General features: G+C 37.6%; 1 long non-coding RNA gene across 2 annotated transcripts in view, besides 2 other annotated features; it reads left to right on the top strand.

Moving 5' to 3' along the window:
* LOC105377462 (uncharacterized) overlaps positions 1-20,560 on the top strand; it is a 360,687-nt gene that overhangs the window by 187,624 nt on the left and 152,503 nt on the right. The gene's annotated exons all lie outside the window — the stretch shown is intronic.
* Positions 16,957-18,863: an enhancer, noted in NCBI's record as "VISTA enhancer hs906". NCBI's record gives its function as "enhancer in: hindbrain (rhombencephalon)[7/7] | midbrain (mesencephalon)[7/7] | limb[6/7] | genital tubercle[7/7]" and the evidence as "EXISTENCE:transgenic organism evidence [ECO:0001131][PMID:17130149]".
* Positions 18,011-18,080: a silencer, noted in NCBI's record as "silent region_15721". NCBI's record gives its function as "represses an Ori minimal core promoter by ATAC-STARR-seq in GM12878 lymphoblastoid cells {active_cell/tissue: GM12878}" and the evidence as "EXISTENCE:reporter gene assay evidence [ECO:0000049][PMID:35858748]".

The raw sequence follows: 20,560 nt of genomic DNA, 5'->3' as shown, positions 1-20,560 counted from the left end.
AATGCCTTTAAAATTATCCAAAAACTGATTATAGCAAGGTTGTATGTAACCACTGCCTCAGACACGATGGGAGGTATTCAAGTTTTTTATTAGCCTCATCTCACACATAGATACAGGGCTTTTCTGATTCATTTCAATACTTAAGTTGCCCAGGGTTACCTGGAAACATTGTGTGGGCTTTTGAGTGTCTCAAAGGTATCAACAAGCGAAAGTCAAACATGAGGCGTTCCCAGGAGGGCAATCGCTAGTCAAGGTGCTGGTTGCTGAGGCAGATAAGTCCTCACCAAATAATTAGTGGGTGGTGGATGGTTCTTGCTCCTGTCAAGGTGATGGGAGATGACTCAGCTTATGCAAAGTGGTCCCACGGCCTTCTCTGCTGAGAGGTTTTGAATTCCTAGCTTCTTGGACCTTTCAATCTTGCTGTCACTCTGCCTCCTGACAGGAAGCAAGGAATCAGAAAAAGAATTTGTGAAATCCATTCATATCTCTTCCCCAGTTTTCTCTGACTCAATAGAAAATTTCAGAGAAACAACAAAAACTTTAGCCTTGAGGGACTCTACCTAGCCTGATATTTGACCTGCCTCAGAGGCAGCGACAAGTCTTAATGGCTTTAGGCTTTGAGATATCAATGCTAAAAAAGAAAAAATCTGCAGCCTTTTTCCTTCCCTTTTCTTCCTTTCCTAACCATCCATAATGCAATGAACCGCAACCCACAATCTGCTAGAAAGAGTTGAGGGAAGAAGGGATGAAGAGATTGGATACAAACCTTTTATCCAGGAAGGATAAGAGTTATACTTTTTAAAAAACTATGTCTTGGCCAAGTGCAATGGCTCACATCTGTAATCCCAGTACTTTGGGAGGCCAAGGCCAGCAGATCATTTGAGCCCAGGAGTTCGAGACCAGCCTGGGCAACATGGTGAAACCTTGTTTCTATTAAAAATACAAAAATAAAATAATAATTAGCCAACTATGGTGGTGCACACCTGTAGTCCCAGCTACTGGGGGCGCTAAGGTGGGAGGATCGCTTGAGCCTGGGAGGTCAAGGCTGCAGTGAGCTATGATCACACCACTGCACTCCTGCTTAGTGACAGAGAGAGACCCTGTCTCAAAAAAAAAAAAAAAAAAAAAGACTTCACATCATTCTTCGAATTTTCCATAACCCCCTTAGCTTGTATAATTGACAGCTCTTTGGACAAACGAAAGCTTCTCTTTTTTTCCAAAGTCTGGTTTTAAAAAATTGAGATTGTTTCCATTAAGGTTTTTGTTGGTTCAAAAGATTTTGAAATCTCTAGTGCAGCTCGATGAATATCTTGTACCTGAAAGGCAATGATTGCTTCTAAAAAATGTACCCCAGATTTTTATCTTTTTAAGAGTGTAACTCTAATTGCCCTATTTTCTTTGTATTATTTTTATAAATATAAAATAAAACTATTTTTATTCTCCATTATTTTTGAACTTTATTTTTTAAAAGCAATGAAATAAAGTTTATGCAAAGTAGTAAAGATCAACCTATTTTTTAATACCTGTTTGGACTAGATTTTGGGAGATCCTTAATAACTTCAAGACAAATTATAAAATTATCATTTAAAACAGCACCTCCACTTAAAACAGACATGAAAGTATACTTACCTTTATATATCACTCTAATCTTCAAAATAAGTTTATACCAAGGGAAGGTTTATGAGTCACAATAGTTTATACAAAAGCAACTAAAAAATGATGAAGTGTGACAATTTTAAAGATGTTGAGGATAATTGTTCCAAAGAATATAAACATCAATTTTATTACCTTTTTTTCTAGTTTTTCCAATTAAGCTCCAACTGTTATTCTTCCCATTTTGTATTGTTTAAATGAGGTACAGAACTATAATGTAAATTGTAAAACTTATTTTTTTTATTTTTATTTTTTTTGAGATGGAGTTTCACTCTTGTTGCCCAGGCTGGAGTGCAGTGGCGTGATATCGGCTCACTGCAACCTCCACCTCCTGGGTTAAAGCAATTCTCCTGCCTCAGCCTCCCAAGTAGCTGGGATTACAGGCATGCGCTACTACACCCAGCTAATTTTGTATTTTCAGTAGAGACGGGGTTTCACCGTGTTGGTCAGGCTAGTCTCAAACTCCTGCTCTCAGGTAATCCACCCACCTCAGCCTCCCAAAGTGCTGGGATTACAGGCATGAGCCACTGTGCTGAGCATTTGTAAAGCTTTTTAAAATGCATCTGCTTTTGGCAATACAAACCTCAAAGCTCCAAACTCTATATTTCTAGTCATAATTTCTAGTTCTCACTTTGACTTTATATCAAATCACATTTTCCCAAGGGAATAGGTCATTTCCATAAAGAGAAACTATATTTAGCTAATTCTGTTTTTAAAAGTAAATTGAGTTCTGTGATTTTTCAGGATTGACTGATGTTTTAGCAGGCCAAATGAGGTTTGACAAATTTCTAATTTTGTAAAAATGGTCTCTAGTAATAGGTGAAGTATTCAATGCAATAAATAAAGTATTCAACACTATAAACAAATGACATCTTTTAAGTCTGAAAAAATGAATACTTCCTGCAAGAGCTGACCTAATTTACTTCCAGTTAATGATATGGGGAGAATAATAGTGATTGTCTGGACTCTCTTCATCTTCCTAAATCAGTAGGCAGTTCATAAGCTGGGCCTGATTGCAGAACAAGGCATTCCACTGGAGTCCAGCCTTATTTCTGACTCTAATGCTTTCTTTTGCCTTGAGTAAAACATTTAACTAACTGCTCTCCTTTCAGTTCTCCTGCTGTGAAAAGAAGATATGATAATAATCTTTTTCTTTCCTACAGTGGTGTTAGGAGCAATATTTAGCTAAAGCTTGAAAAGTATGTTGACAGTAATAAGATAACATTTCATAGCAGATTATTCATGCTCTTATGGCTGAACACCCACTGAAATGTCTCAATAGAATATACTGTAAGTAATTTTGGTATGTGAGCAAAGGATTCTGGTGATGAAATTATCCTTTTTGGGGGGGAGAGGGAGGGCAAAAATTTTAACTTCTTAGGAGCAAAAGAAAAGGGAAAAATAATTAACATGTTGATTTTGTAAATATGCTATAGTAGAGGTAGTTTTTTTTTTCCTTATTCAAGGCCTCAAGGTTGCTAGGTCTCTGTTTTTGAAGAGAACTTAAAGTGGGGTATGAGTATTGAATAAGAGACAAGGTATAATTTTTATGAGTTTTGAAGTGATATAGTAGGTTAGTGCAAAAGTAATTGTGGTTTTTGCCATTCCTTTTAATAGTTTTACTGAATAGTTTACAAATTGGTATATATTCAACTATAAGTACATATGATATTTTGATGTCATTGTATCACTTTAACTCTGGGGCTGCAATCTTCATTGAAACCGGATTTTTCCATATTCTCAGAGGTTTTCTTCCTTTTTTTCATGCCTACCCTGTAATGCCAATACAAACAGGGAGTCCCCTTGACCTCAAAGGGAGCTTTGTGCTTAGATTTCACTACTTTGGACAGGGAACAAGCTGAAAGAAGGGACATGAAGTTCTAAATTCCACCTGATTTAGTTGGCCCAGGGTCTTCAGATACTTCTCTAAAATGCTATATTTTTTCATAATTATTTCATTTCATCATCAAAGCAAAAAAAGATGGATTTCACCGTATATACCCAATGCACAATACTTCGTGCCAATATGAGAATATTTTCAGTTTCTATGGGATCATGCATGCACCAGATTTAATCAGCATGTACATTTCGGAAACCTGTTCAATCCTAGTTGTTTTCTTTTTCAAATTTTAATGAAAATAGCCTTAGAGTTGTATCAAGTGCAACCAAAATAAAACAAAATAAATTGCTAACCTACCACGAATTCAAGAATTATGTGGACACCATCTAAGTTACTTTAACGTAAGATATAAATCCAGAGATTTCTCATGCCATCATTTTGTAAATAATTACAGTTCTGCTGAATCTGTTGTATAAAGTTTACATGGGAGGTTCAGTGCACCCTTGCTCTTGTTTAGAACATTCGGAACCACCAGAGAGCTGTTGATATATGGCTGTACTGTTTCAGTGCCTAAGACATCTACTACATGGGAGCATAATAAACAGGGGCATAAAGACAGGTTTGTGCAAGCAGTTTGGAGTGACCTTTTTGGCAGCTGAAATCCATCTTGAGTACATGGTGCTGATGTGGACAGACATGTAAACTTAGTCTTGTTACCACAACTACTAGTTCTACAAATATACTCAGATGCCCAAAATGTACATCTCTCTTTGGAAAGTGATTTTAAATGGAGAGTTGTAGTTGAGGAATAGCAATCCAGATAACATCAAAAACCATTAGAAATCTCTGTGACTGAATTAACAAAAGTGTTGAAAGCATGGAGTTAGGTAGATTTAATCCAAAAGCCTATAAAATTAAGATTCTCTTCATAGCTTATTTAGATAAAACAGGATAGCTTGATGGGTTTTTTTTTAAAGCAATAGAAATGTATGAGTTGCTTGCTTCTCAAAGCTGAACTTAACACAAGAATGGCCAAGTCAATGTATTTATGACAGCAAGTTTAAATATAAGTGCATATATACTTATCTAATAATTTGAGAAATACAACAGGTACTTTTGTACTGAATTTGAACAACTGGACAATGCTTGAACTTTAATCCAATATTAAAATATTTATTCCCTAACCAATGAGGTCAGCTTGGTCTCTAGCTCCAACCCTGCTCTCCTAGTTTGTCTTATGTTTCCAGGGTAGCCCTAGAAACATCTAGGGGAAGCCCTCTGATTTAGCAAAATGACTTTGATCCAGCAAAAATGACTTTGCCTGTGTTTTTCTCTAGCAGTAGATACACCAATGACATCAATTTTTGTCTCTCAATGTGGTTGATTCTTCAGAGCAATTGGATTTCCTCCTTGTTGATTCAGTCAAGCCTCTTGCTGAATCCACTCCCTGTTTCTTCTGAAATGACTCACACCTTTTCAGGAAAAGTTTTTAGCTTATCTTCAGTTATTATTTGTTAAAAAAGAATTTTAAGATGGTTGAACAAGCATTATTATTTTGGCAATTAATAAGAGACCTGAAATCCATAGAAATTTTAGATGGAAAGCACTTTCACCAGGCACGTAAAAATGAAAATGATAATTTAGAAATAAGGAAGGGAGTTGTGTGTGAGGTTGGAATGGAGGGAGTGTTTGTTTCCTACTTCACTGGTTGCCATGAGATGAGATTCTTCCCTACATTTCCACTCTCTTGTCCCCAAGCCCCTACTCCCTGACCATCAGGAAAGTTGGAAAGACTAATCAGATTAATGAGTTGGGGGAAAAATTTGGACTTGCAGAAACGGATCCCCTTTCTCCCTTCTCTTTACCTAGGAGCCAATTTCTTGCAGAAAACATAGCTTCCAGTCTGCTTTTCCATGACTATGTTTATATGGCCACGTCTCCATGTGGGATGACCTCCATTATGGTAGCCTTTGATTGTTGAGTCATACCTGCACCTAATTCTGCAGTTCTGTATTTAAAAACTAGTCTTCAAGCTGGATCTTAGGTATAAAATTGACTTTGTTTCCCCTTTTTTTGTAACAGCTTTATTGAGATGTAATTTACATACTATAAAGTTCACTCTTTTAAAGCATACAATTCAATGGTTTTTAGTATATTCACAGAGTTGTGCCAATCAACTTTAGACTGTTCTTATCACTCCCCACAAAAACGCCATCCCTTTACCACCCCCAACCCTATCCTCCCATTGCTCCCTGCCCTAAGCAACAATTCTACTTTCTGTCTCTATAAATTTGCCCATTCTTACTATTTTCTGAAAAAAGTGACATTTTAATGTGTATCTGTCTTCATTCTTGTTGTTTTTCTTCTTTGGCAAACCTGCTGAGGAAAAGGTGTTCTATGAGAAAAGTGTATTTATTTCTGGGCCTACTCAAAATCAAATGAAAAACCTGAAACATTATTAAGGTAAATGTATTTGTTGGTAAAAATTTAAATACAATTTAAAATAAATTCTAATGCATATTATAATCTATTATTAAAATTATTTTACTGGTATTCACAACTCTTCCAATAAGTGGGGTATGGTCATGTTTTTGTGAGAAAACCATTATTAAGTATGTTGTAGAGAATGGATTGAAGTGATCAATCAGACAAGAGTCTTCCGTATAGTGGTCCAGTCAGCAAAAATCTGGATCTATGTGTCCCTCTGTCTACTGTTGTTAGTTATATTAATTGAACAAAGATTATTTTCAGAGCATGTGGAAAATGACTAGTCTTTTTCATGTTTAGACATAGATTTAAGTTCAGAGGAAATGGATGAGTTTAACTATTCAAAATAAGTGAACACTTAAAATAAGCTTGGCAATCTGATATTCTCTTTCCTAATTAGTTTTTATTTTATATCTGTTTCCAAGGCTATGTTTTCTGTTTACTAAGCAGCGCTTTAGAGCAAAACAGTTGAGAATTAAGCTAAAATGTTAGAGACATGAGAAAAGAGCCTGTGTATGTACACATGTGTATATATACATGTTTATGATATATATTACATATACAACATACATACATATTTATAGATAGATACATAGATACATAGACAGATGATAGATAGATAGATAGATAGATAGATAGATAGATAGATAGATAGATTGATAGATAGATAGATAGATAGAAAACAAGTCTCTGATTAGGAAACTTCAATCTTTAAAGCCCCAAATGGTGTTAACAGCATCAGAAATAACTTATTAAAAGCCTTGTAGTTATATAGTGTGCTGTTAAATAAGAAAGAAGCAAAATGGCATAAACTCAGGTTCTGACTTTTATGTAGCTTATCTCCTTAAGCAAGGCCAGAAACTTTTAAAGGAAACGATCACTCTAAAACATACCAATAGGCGAAAAGTCTGGGGATACAGAGTCCTTTAGGAATTACCACAGGTCCATAGCAATTGGTATGCAAATTAAGGGTAACTAAAATAATATAGGAGTTTGCTTTTCTCTCATGTCAAACAAGTCAGTGGGAGGAGGTGAGGGGGAGAAGGAGGGTAGGAAGTTCAGGGATGCTTCAGAGGCTCCCCTGTATCATTGGCACTCCATGTTCCTCTTCTTTAGTACCCATCCTCAAGGTCATCTCCAATTTGTAAGGTGGTCTCTATAGCTACTGTCATCACATCCACATTCTAGACAAGAACTACAGAGGAGCAAAAGAGCTGCTAGAACTATTAAAGAACTTTCCTGGAAGCTCTGCACATCAACTTCCTCTTATATGTCCTTGTCTTCCCCTACATATGAAGGAGGCTAGACAACATCAATATTCAGTTATATTGCTTTAATAGGAGTAGAATAGATATTAGAGACCCAATATCTAATATAGCAGTTTCTGCTATAGAAACTGAGGAAGATTTACTCAAGTAATGCTAAGACATTTCATGATAAATGATAATAATAACAATTATGACAACAAATACTCCTATTGCCTGTAGTATGTGCTTAGCTCTAAAAGCTTTATATATATTTGGACATTTGTGGAAGAGTTCCTTAAATGTCTGACTAAGCTTTTCCATGATACATGAAAATGAGACAATGGCACATGTTTTCTAATGGCATCCTCTTTGTTCCTACTTGGTAGTATTATGATCAGAAACTGTCACACAACTTCTAAACTCACAATGAAGACTTGACCTTAGTAATGCAGGATGAACAAATCTTGATGGGCACAGAAGTACAGAAAATGCCAGAACTAACTTTATATGGTCAAGAAGCATTTCAGAACATGGGCCTTAGCAACTTTTTAAAAAGCTTGGCTTCTCAACTAGTATTCATGAAAATCTCCTTTTTAATGAAGGTTTGCTCAGTTGTGTCACCATTGACATCATCACAGCCAATTCATTTCTCATTACCAATGGACTAAAACAGAGAATTGTGTAATAGGTCATTTTTTATTAAGACCATATTCCACAGCCATGTTCAAAAACTCAACAAAGAAAGTTAGACTCGGTCAATGTAAGATTTTCATTGGCAACATGGCTAAAAATCATCACTGAATTTTTTTCCTTTGATTTTCCTTGGCAGCACTGTATCTAACAGTGTGCTGATTGACCATGACACATAAAATTACATCCATGTCTTCTTTCAGCAGGCTGGTGGATAGAATGAAACACCATTCTATCAAGCATCACTCTCAAAAACAAAGCAGTATTCATGCCAATCTTTAGCATGCGAACCTGCTAAATGAATTGATTCAGGGTCTTTACTAATTCTTCAAAATCACTTTTGCCATTAGTTAACATTAACTAGTAGGAGTGAATTTTAAAAGTCTATAATGCAGCCAATCTAAAAGCGTTAAAACGGAGATGGTTCCCTGGGTGAGACATATGTGGAGAAGGGATGACAGCAGAAACCACAGTGGATGTTGTCTGTACAGTAAACCACACTGAGACAGCTTAGTAGGGGAAGAAACCAAAATATTCTGCAAGAGAATTTCAAATTAGGCAGTAAATAAACCAATAATAGGTAACACAGCAATCAGAAAAATTATTACTGCAGAATCCATGAACCCTGAAAAATTGAATGAAAGAGCTATTAGCTATAATAGCTTTTGCTGATGGTGGTTACAGTTTCAAAACACAAGTTAGCTTTCAGGGGGCCTCTCTTAAAGTAGCAGTATTTTAAAGTCATATTTTGAGTAGATGTCAGTTGTTCTGTCATCAAAATAGAGGACATTTTGAGATAATATAGAGAATGCAAGTGTTATATTCATGTATATTATATTAAAATAGAGGATGTATACATTGTATATATATACACATGATATATATGTGTGTATATATTATATGTTAATATATCACATAATATATTATAATATGTAAATTACATATATATAATTTGTTCATAAATCAAGATACCAAACTCTTCAGCCTGATGTTCCAGACTTGATATGCTCTTGAATAAGCCTACCTATTTAGACTTCTATTTTGTGCAGTATAATTTTATTTTTATGCTATTCTTTTATGCACTATTCCCAGAATAAATTCTTGATCCAGTCAGACTAGTCTCCTTCCTGTTATCAATAGACCACACACACAGCCTGGTCAAAACTTTTCCAACATTATGTCCCTGGCTAGAATGACCTTTTTTCTTTTCATTTGTTCAAACCCCTCTCTAACCATCCTGAAGACTAACTCTATGAAATAATTTCTTTATTTTAATCATGAAATCTACTGTCATCACCATGCATTGGACACTAAATCAAACTGTACTGCATTTTTATTTAGCGTCAAGTCTACCTTTTCTTTTTTTCTCCAAATGAACTGTAACCTTCATACGGACAGGGACCATGTCTTAAACTTCTTTTGTGCCTTACAGAACACCTAAGGAACAGCTATGCACATTCTATCAAGCATCACTCTCAAAACCAAAGCTTTTTTCCAAAGTGGTATTTTTGCCAATATTTTTTTTTCTGCTCTAACACTTGGACCTACTACAAGAGTTGATTCAGGCTCCTTAGTAATTCATCAAAATCACTTGTGCCATTAGTGAACATTAACTAGCAGGAGCGAATTTTGATGCGTTTCATGGTGTTTTTCAAGGCATTTGACTTTATTACTACAACTTAGCTCATAGTAACTCTATGAGAATGGCATAACAGATGCTATGATTTGCATTTTAAAGATGGGAATGTAAAACCCAGCAATATTAAATGCCTTGTGAAATAATATATAACTAGTTATAGGCAAGGCTGGGAGAAGGGCCCATATTTTCCATTCTCAACATTACTGAAGATATTTGATATTAAAAATATAAAAATCAGCAATATACATCTGTATTTTTGTACTCAGATTTTGCTCTGAATCTGCAAAGAAAACAGAATCAGAGCTAGTATTTTTACAAGAATTTCTGTGCAAAATAATTGAGCCTCAATTATTCACTGATCAGTTTCCTACAATTTTTGGGTTCTCCCCCCAGGTTTACAAATGAAACTCAGTTGGTGAGCTTTCAAAGCAAAGCTTCTTACATAGTTTAGCTATCTGGTGGCATTTAATAGCATTAAAACTGCCACTGATGATGATTTCTTTTTCAATTCATTTCCACAATACAAACAATGTTATTAAAAGTAAACTGTTAGAGATATGCTTACAAGTTGAGTCTCTCAAATCTTGCCCCACTTCCTTTAATACATAGGCATGACAAGTCAGTGGGCAGAGGAGAGAGGTAGCTGGCTCCCTCAGAATCAGCTTGCTGGCTCCTTAATGGTGCTTTGCATCATTACCTAGCATATCTTTGAAGCCTTCTCTGTTTGCACTGTCAAAGGCTCATTTTAACCTTCATTTAATTGACTAAATCAAAAGCAAAGGCCCAGCAGTGAGACTTACTATACGCATATGCCCACCTACTCTCACAGGATCTATTCCCTTTCACCTCTTATGACACAAGCAAAGAGCTCTATTCAAGGAACCCATATGGTTTATTGTCCACATCCTGTGGAAGTCTTAATGCTCAAAGCTATAGCAAGAAAACTAGAATGCACTTAGGACTGCCAGCTTAGATAAGAGACACCCAGTTAAATTTAAACTTCAGATAAATAGTAAATTTTCTTAACATAAGCATGTCCTTTGCACTATATGGGACACACAAAGAAATTATTCATCATTTATCTGAAATTCTAACTTAGCTGGTTGTTCTGTATTTTTGTTTGCTCAATCTGGCAGTTCTAGGTACACCATCCAAGATCTATCATGCCATTTTTTTCCCAATGGCCCCAGATCAGGCAGCCTTTTGTACAGTAGGTCCCCTTGCTGTGGCCTTGCCCTCTCCCCGGGTGCTGCCCTATCAAGGAGGAGAACACATCAATCAGAGTGGCACTGGAAGGTTCTTTGCCTTCATCACTGCTCTACATTGACAGAATAGAAAGACAGTCCATGTTTCTAGGTAGTACCACAAACATATAATTTTGTATGCAATATTTTAATTGTTATTGAAAATCTATTTGACTCTAGAGCACCGCTTATGACAATCATTGGTTTTGAAAGTATGTATTACTTAACTCATAAATAAATGGTTTGTTTTCTTAATTTAAAAGATATTTTTACCAATCTCTTCTAAGAAATATAGCGAAGAAAAATCTCACAGGAAAATAAGAAACTTGGTATTTAGCAACATAACCTGTGGGGTTTTTTTAAATTAAGCTTGAATTCAAAGGAAATTACTGAAAGTGCCATTGAAGAAGTCAACACCTTACAGCAGTGATTTATAGAGTTAGCTTTCAATTTCATATGGGGATATTAAATCTGTGTGTTGATGAGAAGGATCGAAGTACCTCTCATTATGCTTACAATTTATAACCAAGATATATTACAGAGATTTGTCCAGTATCACATGCAGATATTGTAGAGCTTGGGATTTGACAGTCACATCTCAGAAAGGTTTGCTTTCTATCTTTTATTTTAAAAACAACAACAAATACCCCACATCTTCCATAGGCACAGAATATTTCTAAAATAGATTTAGAGATTATTTAAAAATCGAGATACATCTTATTTACCAAATCTACTTGAACTCCTCTGACAACTAAAGAAAACAAACTCCTAATTAAATGAAATTCCTTCATTCAACAGATGTTTACTGAGTATTCACTATGTGCAAGGCATTTTTAGGCACGGAGGATAGAGTTGTGGACAAAACAGATCAAAATTTCTCTTTCATAAAACTTACCACTACTGAGAGACAGATGCTAAGTTAAATATGAAATTTGATAAATAGTATTAAGTGCTAAACAGAAAAATAAATGAGAATGCTTTGGAAATACAGATTTCTGACTAGTTTAATTATGTGATTGACCATTTGTTAATCAGAAAATGCCACTTTAAGACCTTGTTGTTGAAAAGCTTCTAAATTATATGCACTGTGCTTTCAACAAATGTTTAGCACTATCTCAGTAATGCTATGCTGACTAGCAGTGAGTCTGGCCCCACTCCAGTGAGCTGGAAATCTTAAGACCTGACACCCAATGATGATAAGTCACCTCCTAGCTTTACCACCCACTTCTTCTTGGGTATGTTATTTACTGATTTTTTCATCATTCTCTCTTTTTTTTTTTTTTTTTTTTTGAGACAGTCTCACTCTGTCCCCCAGGCTGGAATACAGTGGTGCAATCTCAGCTCACTGCAACCTCTGCTTCCCAGGGCTCCAGTGATCCTCCCACCTCAGCCCCCATCTGAGTAGCTGGGACCACAGGCAGCATCACCATGCCTGGCTAATTTTTGTATTTTCTGTAGGGACAGGATTTCACCATGTTGCCCACGCTGGTCTCAAACTCTTGGGCTCAAGTGATTCACATGCTTTGGCCTCCCAAAGTACTGATATTACAGATATAAGCCACCATGCCCAGCCATTCTCCATTGTTAAGTAAAGACATTAGACCCTAAGATTTTATGCCACTTTCCAACCTCAACTGTACCAATAACTTGAGTGTTTTCCATCATCATTTGAAAAAATAAATCATCTAACACAGCAGCCCTGCAGTTCTTTGACACTCGCAGCTCTGAAGACCACCACTCAACGTGAGCAATCCTCTCCTCTTGGCACATCTTGACTGATGCCATTGTGAAAAGCTTCCCCAACTCTGAAATCTAAATCTCTGGCATATGCATCTGCCCAGACTCATGCCCCGATTTCCTGCTTTATATCCTTCCAGTGCCTTTCAGGATGATCAACTTATCTACTCATTCTCTCAGCAAATGTTCACTGAGCATCTACTGTGAGCAGAGTATGTGAAAGACACAAGATGTAGCAGTCAAAATGAGAAACATGCTCAAAGAACCTGGAATATCTCAGGGAGAAAGGTAGTGGGCGAGTAATTACAAGTGTGATGAATATTAGAAAATGGAGTGTAGGTGCAGGGGGAGCTTACCACGCCAGGGGCCTAAGAATCTTTCTCTGAGAAGCTTGTCTCTGAGATAGTTTCCAAATTTATGTAGAAGCTAAATAATGAGGAGCCAGCCAAGCAGAATGTGAAGAAGGGTATTCTCACAGAAGGACAAGCATATTCAAAAGCTCTGAGGCATGAGATATTTGCACTTCCAAGGAGAGCAGATGAACTGAAAATACCCAAATGAGTCTGGGGCACAGGAGCTGTGCTGAAGAAAGAAGACTGATAGAGCTGAAGCAGGTTAAATCACGTGGGCTATAGGGCCACCAGTGTTTAAGGATGTTGAACTTTATCCTACCAGCAATAAAGAGTGTTTGGCTGGTCTAAACCTCCCAGTCAATCACATAAATTGCTCTTGTACCAATATCTATGACATCTTTGAACCACAAATCTGGATCGAATTCAAATCTTCCTTTTCTACTCTTTTTTTCCTTTGTACTTCAGTGCTATTGAGGGAAATCACACAGCCACGATGATTGCCATCATTTCAATCTCTTGCCTTCCCAACTCTTTCAGAGTTTTTATGCCACTTATACGTCTCTCTGCTCCTTTTTGGTCAGCTCCCTAATTCCTCTCAGTTAATATTCCAAACCTTTGTAATCATCTATTCCCTCCCCCACAATCCACAGATGGCTTTGTTTCCAACACAAGCAAGGCCATTGAGTAGAATCTACTCAATGACACACCTTCCCCTACCTAGACACACATCTATAGCCTCACTTCCACAACTACCTCCTTTCCTCTATTCATGGGTTTAGGGTCATTTTCCCTATTTACCACCTATTTCTCCCCTGTTACTTGTGAACATTTTCTCACATCTCATTCCTTCATTTATCCCTTCATTTTTCTGGATCTGTAGCCTGCCTAACAGCCTCTATTTTTTTTCTGTATTGTGTATATAAATGCTTTGTATCTTGCATCACATTGTCATGGGATATGTTTGTGTGTGTCTTGCCTTATGGATCATATCCTCCTCAGAGGTAGGGTTCATGTGATTCATCTTCTGCACCATCAATGCACATCACCTACTTCTCAGAGTAGGGCTTCCCCTCCTCTCCAGTCATTCTGAAACAGAACACAAGGCGACAGTTTCTTCCATATTCTATACATGTTTTTGAGGTTTTATAGAAAGAAATAAGAAACAAACAAAAAAGATTCCCAGGGTTCAGGAAGGAGGAAATGTTTAGATAGTAATGATCATCTTAGAGCGCTCACCAGGCATGCTATGCAGGGGGTTTCCTGGAGTTTGGTTACAGGCTGTAGGGCTGGGATGAGGAGCAACTGAGGAAGAATGTGGAAGTCATGAGAAGATGAGAAGTCTGCTGAGATGCTGCCTACCGGACTTGGCTGTTTGCTTCCCAACCTTGAGTGTCCAGGCCCAAAATAGAAGCCAGAGAGAATCAGAAATGTGGTTAGGAGATGTGAAGATACTAAGAAGCCATGGCTCTATAGTGCTGAGAAGGAAACAGAAAAGAGGAAAGAAAAGCACACTAATCATTCACATGGAAGCGGCTCATAATTAAGGGACACATGATAATTTTCTAAGTTCAGTGAACCAGCTGAAATATCGTGTATTTATGTTCTGAACCTGCAGTAAAGCAAAAATTTTGTTTCACTTACAGGAATGCTCCAGTTTGGATAGCTTCCTATCTACTGTGTTATCACAGCCTTTACTGGGACTGCTGCATACCATCATATAAGCCAACAACAGCCCTGGAATTTAGCATACCATGTAGATAATATTTCTTTATGTGCTAGCTTCCTCACAAGACAATAAGCCTCACAAAAGCAAGGAACATGTCCTCAGTCTTTGTCATCCTTCTGCCTCTAATACATAGTAATAGCTAATATATATTGAGGTACCATTATTACTCATTTATAGATAAGACAACTGAGTCACTAAAAGGTTAAGAATCTCATCCAAGGTTACACAGCTGGTAGGTGTTGAACTGGGATTCAAAACTTCAAAGGTCGCTGCTTTTTTGTTTTGTTTTGTTTTGTTTTAAATATTATGCCTGCTACCTCTGACAGTACCAGGCACCTAGTAGGTTCTCAATATAAGGAGAAATTATGTGTGGACCAAAAACAGTTACCTGATAAATGCTTTGGGGAGTGATGGGATGAGGGATAGTAATTCAAGTTAAGAAAGTATGGCTGGCAAGGCGCGGTGGCTCACACATGTAATCCCAGCACTTTGGGAGGCCAAGAGGGGTGGATCACTTGAGGTCAGGAGTTCTAGACCACCCTAGACAATGTGGCGAAACCCCGTCTCTACTAAAAATACAAAAATTAGCCAGGCGTGGTGGTCTGTGCCTGTAATCCCAGCTACTCCAGAGGCTGAGGCAGGAGAATCACTTGAACCCTGAACCTGGGAGGCAGAGGTCGCAATGAGTCAAGATCGCGCCACTGAACTCCAGCCTGGGCAACAGAGTGAGACTCCATCTCAAAAAAAAGAATGTATAATGCTCATTAATTTTAGGCTTTAGTCTAGGAAAGAATGATTTTATGGTGAACCTAGAGTCTTCATGTCGTCTATAACTAATATTAGAGTAGCTGCTTATCTCAAGACAGAGTTCAACCCTGCTGAGAGAGGACAGATAAACTTCAGCGAGATGGCAAAGGAAAAATGGAAGGAGACACCTGGGCAGAGAGCACTGAAGAGAATGGAATCTAATTGGAGAACAGAGAGAGAGTAATGCTCCCCTCATCCTATCTTGGGAAATGTAGTCAGGTTGAGCTGGAGTAAGTTGTTTTTAAAACAGTATTGTTTACAAAGTAAAGTAATCCCTTTCAATCCTACTATCTTAATCTTCGTAACTCAAAGTTCCAACATCTGACTTCTTTTTTTTTACCTTATTTCCTATAAGAGTAAAAATTCCCAATCTGTGTGCATCCAAATGGTATAGTTTATACTCATGTCCCTTAGTATGTGCACACACACTTTCAACAACACTAAAGAAAATCAATTCTGGCAGAGGCTGACCAAAGGAAAGTTGCAAATCACACAGCCTAAGAGCTAACCTCACAAGCTACTGATGCTTATTCATAAAGAAAGGCATTTATTTCTTAAATCTCATCTGTTTTTAGTAGCATTTCTATTTCTTCTGGACTATTTTCTTTGGAATTGTTTACTTTCTTCTGCAACACAGACCCCATAAATGCAGGCACAGGCCATTTTATCTATGTTGTGTCCATAGGGGACATGTCCCTATTTCCAGAAGTGGGGTGGATCACAGATAAGCAGCTAGACACGATGCAGCAGTTGGTCTAATTCTTCCAAGCACTCTGACTCAGGAAGGATGGTTCAAAGCATCTACTTAAGAATGCTTTATGCTCTCAATGATGTGGAAAATATATTCATGAATAAAACAGAAATGAAAGTCATCACAAGGATGAGTGAAACCTCGTGGTTGAGGGGTTTTGTTTACAATGCTTTTGGTTTACCTTGGAAGCAGCTTTTTATTACACAGTTAAAGTTGTGTAATCTAGCAAATGGAAATTTTAATTAGCAAATTCATAATGGGCTGTAGGTTATCAACAGGTGGATTCACTTGTCTTCTCGTGAGATTTTTAAGACATAGGCTGTTGACAGTTAAAATTGCTTCAATACAAGATGGCTTTGATTGAGGGTGACCTTACAACTCACCATATTAAGTCACAAATGTAACTGATATAAGTGAACCGGCCCTCCTCCCTGGTGGGCAAGAGTCTCAAAATCACCATGTAATATGCCCCAGTGTAGACCGAGGGGCTGTCCTTTCTTGAGCAGCAAGGGGGTCACTGCAGATGAGGGCTTTAAAGATTTTAGGCAGAGCTTTGTGTGGACACTGGTAAAGAAATTGCCTACATTGTTCTGAAGTTAAACAAAGGGTAAATATAGTGTGTTAATTTGAGTGCTTCCTAAATAACCAGTTTACAAGATCACATACTGAAGTTTATCAAATACACACTAGGGAGACTGTTCATGGACACAAAAGGGATCACCACTCAGCTTCAAATTCCTTCAAGATCCTAACAGCTACCTGTCCCAGAGTCCTGAGGAAATCACTGGAACCCACCTCAAATATACTTTCTTTCTGGCTAGACTTTACTTGGAGGTAGGGTAATAGTTATGGGGTTGTGAGGGGGTGTCACAATTTTAGTTGCCTGTTAGACTTCTACAGTTATTTAAAATTACAGCACATCTACAGACTTATCTAAAATAAAGCACAGTTTTTAAAAATGCATGTAAAAAAAAATTCTTCTTTCTCACCACTCTGCCCCCTTCTGCTCCTCTCCCCCGCACTACACTCCCCGAAGAGACTATTTAACATAATGAGCTGCAGTGTGTGGATGTGATAGCAGTTGCCTGCTAATAGTTATGTTTAAAATTCCTATTTCTTATCTTATTTACTGATTGATGGGAACTTGTGACTTGCAGATCTTCCTCCAGGACCCCATCCCTTTCCTGGGCGGAGTGAATCATTTGACACAGGGAACATTAGACAACACGTTTGCTTCCTCGTTAAATCCCGTTTGGCTACGTAAGCTAGCCGGATGCAGGGCCCCCCAGTTGCATCTGCATTGTGTCTTATCGGAACCACCTGAAGAGCCTGGCCACACAGGGTGGCCTTCCTTAATTTAAAATCCACAGAGAAGATTTTTTTTTTCTTTTTTTGGTCAGCAAACTCCAGCATATGACAAAAGGCATGCATGTGACTTTATTTTTTCAATGGCTACTTTTCTTCTTAAATCAGGCTCCCTGATTTTAACTAAAAAATAAATAAGTAAACAAGAAAACACTGGGTTACTCTCAAAGAGATCACATTTTTAAAAACTCAAATGATTTCCTACAGGCAGTCTGTTTTGCAGTGTATTTTTTTTTCTTGTTTTTCTTTTTCTGCTTTTTTCCCCCTGTAGATTCTGAAAAGAAATAACCGGCTGTAGGCATCGCCTGTGGCTTGCTGGTCGCACTCCTTGGGTGGTCTGAGCCGACTTTATGATTTATTCAGCTAATGGGAAGGGAGCATGACCCCCAGTGGCCACAGAAAGAGAGCTGCATGTGGGTTTAATGCTTTCACCACAAAAATGTCTGCTATGACTAAGCTCTGCGGCTGAAGTCACTGTCTGAATGGTGCTAAAAAGGAACTTAGGCTTAAGTGTGCACTATTTACTATAGATCGGCTCTTGGGATTAGGCCAAGGGGTTCGTACTCAGTTTCAAAGAATAGCATGGAAGCTGCTAGGAAAATTAGAGCTGTGCAATTTATTTTTACCAGTCTCCCTGGTGAGTTACTCAGTGAAGGATTTACCTCATATGCTTTTTTTCTCCCCTGTTACTAAAGAGTCATTTAAAACGTGTCAGTTTGTGCATTTTACAGAGTTTTATTGTGAAGGTATCCCTATTTTTTTGTTTATCACAGCCATGAATCACTGTTATTGTACTTTAATGTTAATTTGAAACTATAAAAGAATGCCTAATGTTGAAAGAAAGAAAAAGCAAGAGAGAGGGAAAGGGAATGAGAGGGGCTGTGGAGTAATGTTCCTTCACCACACACTGCCCTGTGAGAGAGGCCTCTTTGATCCAGGGAGTAGTCCCCCTCCCTGGCAGCATCGTTACTGGTACAGAGGAATGAACACATTTTGCTTCATGTTGATTCTTTTACCGTGAGGGAAAGGGATGGATGGAGTGGGGAGGAGGGAGACAAGGAGACCTGTTTGTAATTTTGACTAAGATGGATGATTTTTACAGTCAGTGTAATACCTGCTGTTGAAGTTCCAGCATGTTTGCTTCTGGTGGACTTTACAAATGTCCAGAATTAAGAAGTGAATCCCTTTGATGTCTGTAGCTCAGGTTCCTGGGTCTAGAATGCTGCCAGCCTTTTCAGAATATGCCTCCATAGTATAAAGTCACTGGCTTGAAAACATTGCACCTATGAAAGCCCAGCATTCCTTTGGTGCTTGATGTTTGCAGCTTAAACTAATTGCAACTTAGAGTTTAGCTCAGCAGTAGCCAGAGTTCATTGCTAGAGTAATATAGAATGCTTCCCCATTCCCCCAGATGTACTAAGGGACTTTATTTTCGGTTATTGCTCCAAACTTTTCCTTGTAAAAACATTGTTCTTATATCCTGACAAATAAATGCCATTTCTTATAATAAGGGTTAACCACTGAGAGAGACTTCAGGGCTGAGCTGGATTCCCCCATTCCCCTTGTAAGTCTTAGTCTTAGTTTTATTATAGGTAAGTCAGGGCTTTGTGATCCTAAACAATCATTCAGCAGGGCAGGGCTTCATTTTCCCCATCTGTGAAATGGAAATAGCAATCCAGGGCTGCATCAGACTAAATGGCTGTTGAGCCGTTAGAGATTTACAAGGTTATCTTCTAAAGAGAGTACTTGATCTTTTATTTTCTCAGGGCTAAAAAGATAGGGAGGGTCAGAAAAACCATGTTCCTAAGTCATGCTGTTCTCCCTGCAGGTAGATTGAAAATTAAAAAATAAAAGAAAATTTTCCCATTGTTTCCCACTTTACCTTCTTTCCTATCTCCTTTCTAGCATTTTACAGATTCGAAGGTGAGAACTTCTTTTCAAAAATGGTGATATCATATCAATAGGACATCGAGAGTAGAGAAATAGCTCAATTAACACCAAGCAAAACCTAAATTCCATGTGACCTCCTGGATTAGATCTTAGGATGGAAAGAGGACATTAGTGGAAAAACTACTGAAATTTTAATACAGTGTGTCATTTAGTTAATAGTATTGTATCAATGTTAATTTCTTAGTTTAGATCAATGTACCGTGGTTATATATGATGTTAATATTAGGAGAAGCAGAGTGAAAGGCCTACAGGAACTCTCTGTACTATCTAGCAACACTCCTATGAGCCTAATATTATCTCAAAATTAAAAGGATAAAAAAAAAACCCTAACAGACAATTGTTGTCCAAAAATCGATCTATTTGAGATCCTGATGAATAACTTCTGTCTCTTCCCCACACCCAGATACTTCCATACTCCAGTCCATTTTCCAAAGCTGTATAGAAAGTTCATTTGGGTAATACCCACAGCTTAAACGGCTATGAAAGCATCCAACTCTGAATATCTTATTCTCCCAGACCAGCTGCTTGTTGCCTGCACCATGATAGACACTGTACTGAGCAATTTAGACTCAATATGTTCTCTGTGGAAATTGCCCTATATGAGAGAAAAATAAATAATGCTATAGATAAAAGCAGGAGAATAAAAACGGCAATGATATTAAATGTTACATTGTTTTTGCAATACACGATGCAGGTATTTTTTACTGCATTCATCAGTGAGTTCTGGTGAGGCCATTTTGCCAGGTGCCATACCTCCAGGACTTAACACAAAACCAGGCATGTTAGTATTTAATAAATATTTTTGGAATGAATGACACTCAGCACACATTTCACATGAGCAGTTCACAGCTGTAACATAAAAGACACACATTTTCTGACAAAGGTTCAGTTTGCACTGACTATTGTATTGTTTTTCTTTCCATTTGTCCTTCTAGCCCAAAGTAAAAAGGCAGGATGAATAATGATGAAGGGAAGATACCACCTGAAATAGAATTGCCTTTCAGGGCTTTTTAAGCAAGGGTTGTTTTTGGCATTGTATATTCATCCTCGGGTAAAGCATTAGTGAGAGAG

The sequence above is a fragment of the Homo sapiens genome, chromosome 4 (genome assembly GCF_000001405.40).
Source record: "Homo sapiens chromosome 4, GRCh38.p14 Primary Assembly".
Lineage (NCBI taxonomy): Eukaryota > Metazoa > Chordata > Mammalia > Primates > Hominidae > Homo > Homo sapiens.
This window is presented reverse-complemented; position numbering and strand designations above follow the sequence as displayed.